Here is a 5,334-nt window from a genome sequence, read left to right on the forward strand (position 1 = left end):
CATGCTGCAGCCTTGTAGTATAGTTTGAAGTCAGGTAGCATGATGCCTCCAGCTTTGTTCTTTTTGCTTAGGATTGTCTTGGCTATATGGGGTCTTCTTTGATTCCATATGAAATTTAAAGTAGTTTTTTCTAATTCTGTGAAGAATGTCAATGGTACTTTGATGGTAATCGCATCGAATTTATGAATTACTTTGGGCAATATGGCCATTTTCACAATACTGGTTCTTCTTATCCAAGAGGATGGAATGTTTTTCCATTTCTTGGTCTTCTCCTTTATTTCCTTGAGCAGTGGTTTGTAGTTCTCCTTGAAGAGGTCCTTCACATCCCTTGTTAGCTGTATTCCTAGGTATTTTATTTTCTTCATAGCAATTGCGAAAGAGAGTTCATTCATGATTTGGCTCTGTGCTTGTCTATTGTTGGTGTAAAGGAATGCTTGTGATTTTTGCACATTGATTTTCTTTCCTGAGATTTTGCTGAAGTTGCTTATCAGCTTAAGGAGTTTTGGGGCTGACATGATGGGTTTTTCTAAATATAGAATCATGTCATCTGCAAACAGAGACAATTTCACTTCCTCTGTTCCTATTTGAGTACACTTTATTTTTTCTCTTGCCTGATTGTCCTGGCCAGAACGTCCAATACTTTGTTGAAGAAGAGTGGTGAGAGAGCGTATCTTTGTCTCGTGCTGGTTTTCAAAAGGAATGCTTCCAGCTTTTGCCCATTCATTATGATATTGGCTGTGGATTTGTCATAAATATGTTATTATTTTGAGATTATTTTGAAACTATCAATACCTAGTTTATTGAGAGTTTTTAACATGAAGGCATGTTGAATTTTACCAAAGGCCTTTTCTATATCTAAAGAGATGATCATGTGGTTTTTGTCTTTGGTTCTGTTTATGTGATGGATTATGTTTACTGATTTGCATATGTTGAACCAGCCTTGCATCCCAGAGATGAAGCCAACTTGATCATGGTGGATAAGTTTTTTGATGTGCTACTGTATTCAGTTTGCCAGTATTTTAATGAGAATTTTCACATCAATGTTCATCAGGAATATTGGCCTGAAGTTTTCTTTTTTTGTTTTGTCTCTACCAGATTTTGGAATCAGGATGATGCTGGCTTCATAAAATGAGTTAGGGAGGAGTCCCTCCTTTTCAATTGTTTAGAATAGTTTCAGAAGGAATAGTACCAGCTCCTTTTTGTACCTCTGGTAGAATTTCGTTGCGAATCCATCTGGTCCTGGGCTAGTTTTGATTGGTAGGCTATTAATTACTGCCTCAATTTCAGAACTTGTTATTGGTCTATTTAGGGATTTGATTTCTTCTTGGTATATTCTTGGGAGGGCGTATGTGTCCAGGAATTTATCCATTTTTTCTATATTTTTTAGTTTATTTCCATAGAGGCGTTTATAGTATTCTCTGATGGTAGTTTGTATTTCTGTGGGGTCAGTTGTAATACCCCCTTTATCATTTTTTATTGTGTTTACTTGATTCTTCTCTTTTTGTCTTTATTAGTCTAGCTAGCCATCTATCTATTTTGTTAATTTGTTCAAAATAACAGATCCTGGATTCGCTGATTTTTTGAAGGGTTTTTCATGTCTCTATCTTCTTCAGTTCTGCTCTGATCTTACTTATTTTTTGCCTTCTGCTGGCTTTTGGATTAGTTTACTCTTGCTTCTCTGGCTCTTTTAATTGTGATGTTAGAGTGTCGATTTGAAGTCTTTCTAGCTTTATGGTGTGGGCATTTAGTGCTTTAAATTTCTCTTTTAACACTGCTTTAGCTGTGTGCCAGAGATTCTGGTATGCTCTCTCTTTGTTCTCATTGGTTTCAAATAACTTCTTGATTTCTGCCTTAATTTCATTATTTACCAGGAGTCTTTCAGGAGCAGGTTGCTTAATTTCCATGTAATTGTGTGGTTTTGAGTGAGTTTCTTAATCTTGAGTTCTAATTTGGTTTCACTGTGGTCTGAGAGCCTGTTTGTTAGGATTTCAGTTATTTCGCATTTGCTGAGAAGTGTTTTACTTCCAATTATGTGGCCAATTTTAGAATAAGTGCCATGTGGCACTGAAAACAATGTATATACTGTTGATTTGGGGTGGAGAGTTCTGTAGATGTCTATTAGGTCCACTTGATCCAGAGCTGAGTTCAAGTCCTGAATATCCTGTTAATTTTGTCTCATTGATCTCATATTGACAGTGGGGTGTTAAAGTCTCCCACTATCATTCTGTGGGAGTCTAAGTCTCTTTGTACATCTCTAAGAACTTGTTTTATGAATCTGGGTCCTCCTGTATTGGGTGCATATATATTTAAGATAGTTAGCTCTTCTTGTTCAATTGATCCCTTTACCATTATGTAATGCCTTTCTTTGTCTTTTTAAATCTTTGTTGGTTTAAAGTCTGTTTTGTCAGAAACTAGGATTGCAACTTCTGCATTTTTTTACTTTCCATTTGCTTGGTAAATTTTCCTCCATCCCTTTATTTTGAGCCTCTGTGTGTCTTTGCATGTGAAATTGGTCTCCTGAATATAGCACACTGATGGGTCTTGAGTCTTTATCCAATTTGCCAGTATGTGTCTTTTAATTGGGGCCTTTGGCCCATTTACATTTAAGATTAGTATTGTTGCATGTGAATTTGTTTCTGTCATCATGACACTATCTGGTTATTTTGCATATTAGTTGATGCAGTTTCTTCACAGCGTCATTGGTCTTTATATTTTGGTGTGTTTTTATAGTGGCTGGTACCAGATTTTCCTTTCCATATTTACTGCTTCCTTCAGGAGCTCTTGCAAGGCAGACCTGGTAGTGATGAAATCCCTCAGCATTTGCTTGTCTGGAAAGAATTTTATTTCTCCTTTGCTCATGAAGCTTAGTTTGGCTGGATATGAAATTCTGGGTTGTAAATTCTTTTATTTAAGAGTGTTGAATATTGGCCCCCAGTCTCCTCTGGCTTGTAGGGTTTCTGCTGAGAGGTCCACTGTTAGGCAACCTGGCCTTTCTCTCTGGCTGCCCCTCACATTTTTTTCTTCATTTTGACTTTGGAGAGTCTGATGATTACATGTCTTGGGGTTGATCTTCTTGTGGTGTATCTTAGTGGTGTTCTCTGTATTTCCTGAATCTGCATGTTGGCCTGTCTTGCTAGGTTGGGGAAGTTCTCCTGGATAATATCCTGAAGTGTAGTTTCCAGCTTGTTTCCATTCTCCCCATCTCCTTCAGGTACTCCAATCAATAATAGGTTTGCTCTTGTAACATAGTCCCATATTTCTCAGAGGCATTGTTCACTCCTTTTCACTCTTTTTTCTCTATTTTTTTTCTGCATGGCTTATTTCAGCAAGGTGGTCTTCAAACTCTGATATCCTTTCTTCCACTTGGTCAATTCAGCTATTGATACTTGTGTACACTTCCTGAAGTTCTCCTCTGTGTTTCTCAGCTTCATCAGGTCATTTATGTTCCTCTCTAAACTGGTTATTCTAGTTAGCAGCTCTTCTAACCTTTTATCAAGGTTCTTTGATTCTTTTCATTGGATTAGAACATGCTCCTTTAGCTCAATAGAGCTTTTTATTTTCTGAAGCCTACTTCTGTCCATTTCTCCAGCTTATCCTCCATCCAGTTCTGTGCCCTTGCTGGAGAGACATTGCAATTATTTGGAGGAGAAGAGGCACTCTGGTCTTTAGGATTTTCAACGTTTTTTCATTAGTTCTTTCTTATCTTCATGAGTTTGTCTAGTTTCAATTTTGAGGCTACTAACCCTTGGATGGGGTTTTTGTTGGGACTCTTTTGTTGTCGATGATGCTGTTGTTGTTGTTTCTTTCTGTTTATTTTTATTTAAATGGTCAGGTCCCTCTTATGTAGGACTGCTGTGGTTTCCTGGGGGTTCATTTCAGACTCTATTCATCTGGCTTACTCCCATGCCTGGAGATGTCACTCAAGGAAACTGGGAACAGCAAAGATGTATGCCTGCTCCTTCTTGGATGTCTGACCTACAGGGGCACCAACCTGATGCCAGTAGGATCACTCCTGTATAGGGTGTCTGACAACCCCTCTTGGAGGTTCTCACTCAGTTGGGTGGCACTGAGAACAGGACCTATTTAACGAAGTACTTTGTCCCTTGGTGTAGGGGATGTGCTTTGCTTGGGGTAAATCCACTTATCTGGGCTGCCTGGATTCTTCAGAACTAGTAGGAGGAGAGGCTAAATCTGCTGCTCTGCAGAGACTATAGCCACCCCGCCCCCTAGAGGCTCAGGCCCAGGGAGCTCACAGTTTTGTCCCTGAGCCTCTGGCTGGAATTGTAGGAATTCTTGCAGGGAAGCCCCACCCAGTGAGGAAGAATGGGTTAGGGTCAGGCCTGAAGAGGCGTTCTGGCCACAGTCTGCCACAGCCGGTGTGTTGGGCTTTTGGGGGCACCTCTTGGGACCAAGCCGTCCAGCCTCCCTGGCTCCTGCAGGGGAAAAGTGCAGCCTGGAGCTATAGAGATGAATTCTGCCCTTCCCCACCCCAGGGAGCTTAGCGCATTAGGCAGTTATGAGTCCCAGTGCTGGCTGCTGCTTCTCCCTCAAGGAGCTCAAAAGGCTTAGAGAGCAGTCAGCTGCAGCTGTGGTGCTAGTCACCCCTCCTCCCAGGAACTAGGCAGGCTTAAGCAGATTCTAGCTGAGAGGCTGTTGAAAATCTGCACGGCTCCAGGATTGGGACCCTAGGCCCCGGTGGCGTGGGTTCGTGAGTGGGATCTTTGGATCCATGGGTTGCACAGTTCTGTGGAACAAGCATGGTTTCCCTGGCTGGGTAGCATGCTTATTCACCACCTCCCTTGGCTGGGGGTGGGGGCTCCCCTGCCCTGTGTGGCTCTCAGGTGGGCCACGGCACCACACTGCTTTTCCTCCCTCTGTGTGGATCATGCCATCGCCTAGTCAGTTCTGATGAGAGAAACTGGATACCTTAATTGCCAGTTCAGGATTCACACTCTAATTGTGATTCTTTTCGATGGGAGCCTCTGATGGCCACTGCTTCTATTCGCCCATCTTGGCCCCACGCTGAAAATGTAAATTCTGTAAGGTGAATTTAAGTGATTCATTCAAAAATTACAATTCAGATACAAGACATGCTGCTAGATGCTGAAGATACCATGGTGAGGAAGATCAAAATCTTTGTCCTCATATAAGATACATGTTACTGAAGGAGGCCTGTAATTAGAGGAGGAAGATTTAACCTAGACTAAAGGATCTTGTGAGGCATCTCAGAAAAGGTATTGTTTAAGATAACATCCAGTGGATGAATAGCCATTATCTAGTAGAACATAGCAAGAGAATTTCTGCATTGGAAATTGAAAAAAAGTACTTAGTCCA

The 5,334-nt window shown here is 41.0% G+C and overlaps 2 annotated features.

Moving 5' to 3' along the window:
- Positions 3,944 to 4,481: an enhancer, noted in NCBI's record as "H3K27ac-H3K4me1 hESC enhancer chr17:52740223-52740760 (GRCh37/hg19 assembly coordinates)". NCBI's record gives its function as "activates a minimal SCP1, AML or CMV promoter by ChIP-STARR-seq in naive H9 embryonic stem cells {active_cell/tissue: H9 hESC(naive)}" and the evidence as "EXISTENCE:reporter gene assay evidence [ECO:0000049][PMID:30033119]".
- Positions 4,482 to 5,018: an enhancer, noted in NCBI's record as "H3K27ac-H3K4me1 hESC enhancer chr17:52740761-52741297 (GRCh37/hg19 assembly coordinates)". NCBI's record gives its function as "activates a minimal SCP1, AML or CMV promoter by ChIP-STARR-seq in naive H9 embryonic stem cells {active_cell/tissue: H9 hESC(naive)}" and the evidence as "EXISTENCE:reporter gene assay evidence [ECO:0000049][PMID:30033119]".

Source organism: Homo sapiens, chromosome 17 (assembly GCF_000001405.40).
Source record: "Homo sapiens chromosome 17, GRCh38.p14 Primary Assembly".
NCBI lineage: Eukaryota > Metazoa > Chordata > Mammalia > Primates > Hominidae > Homo > Homo sapiens.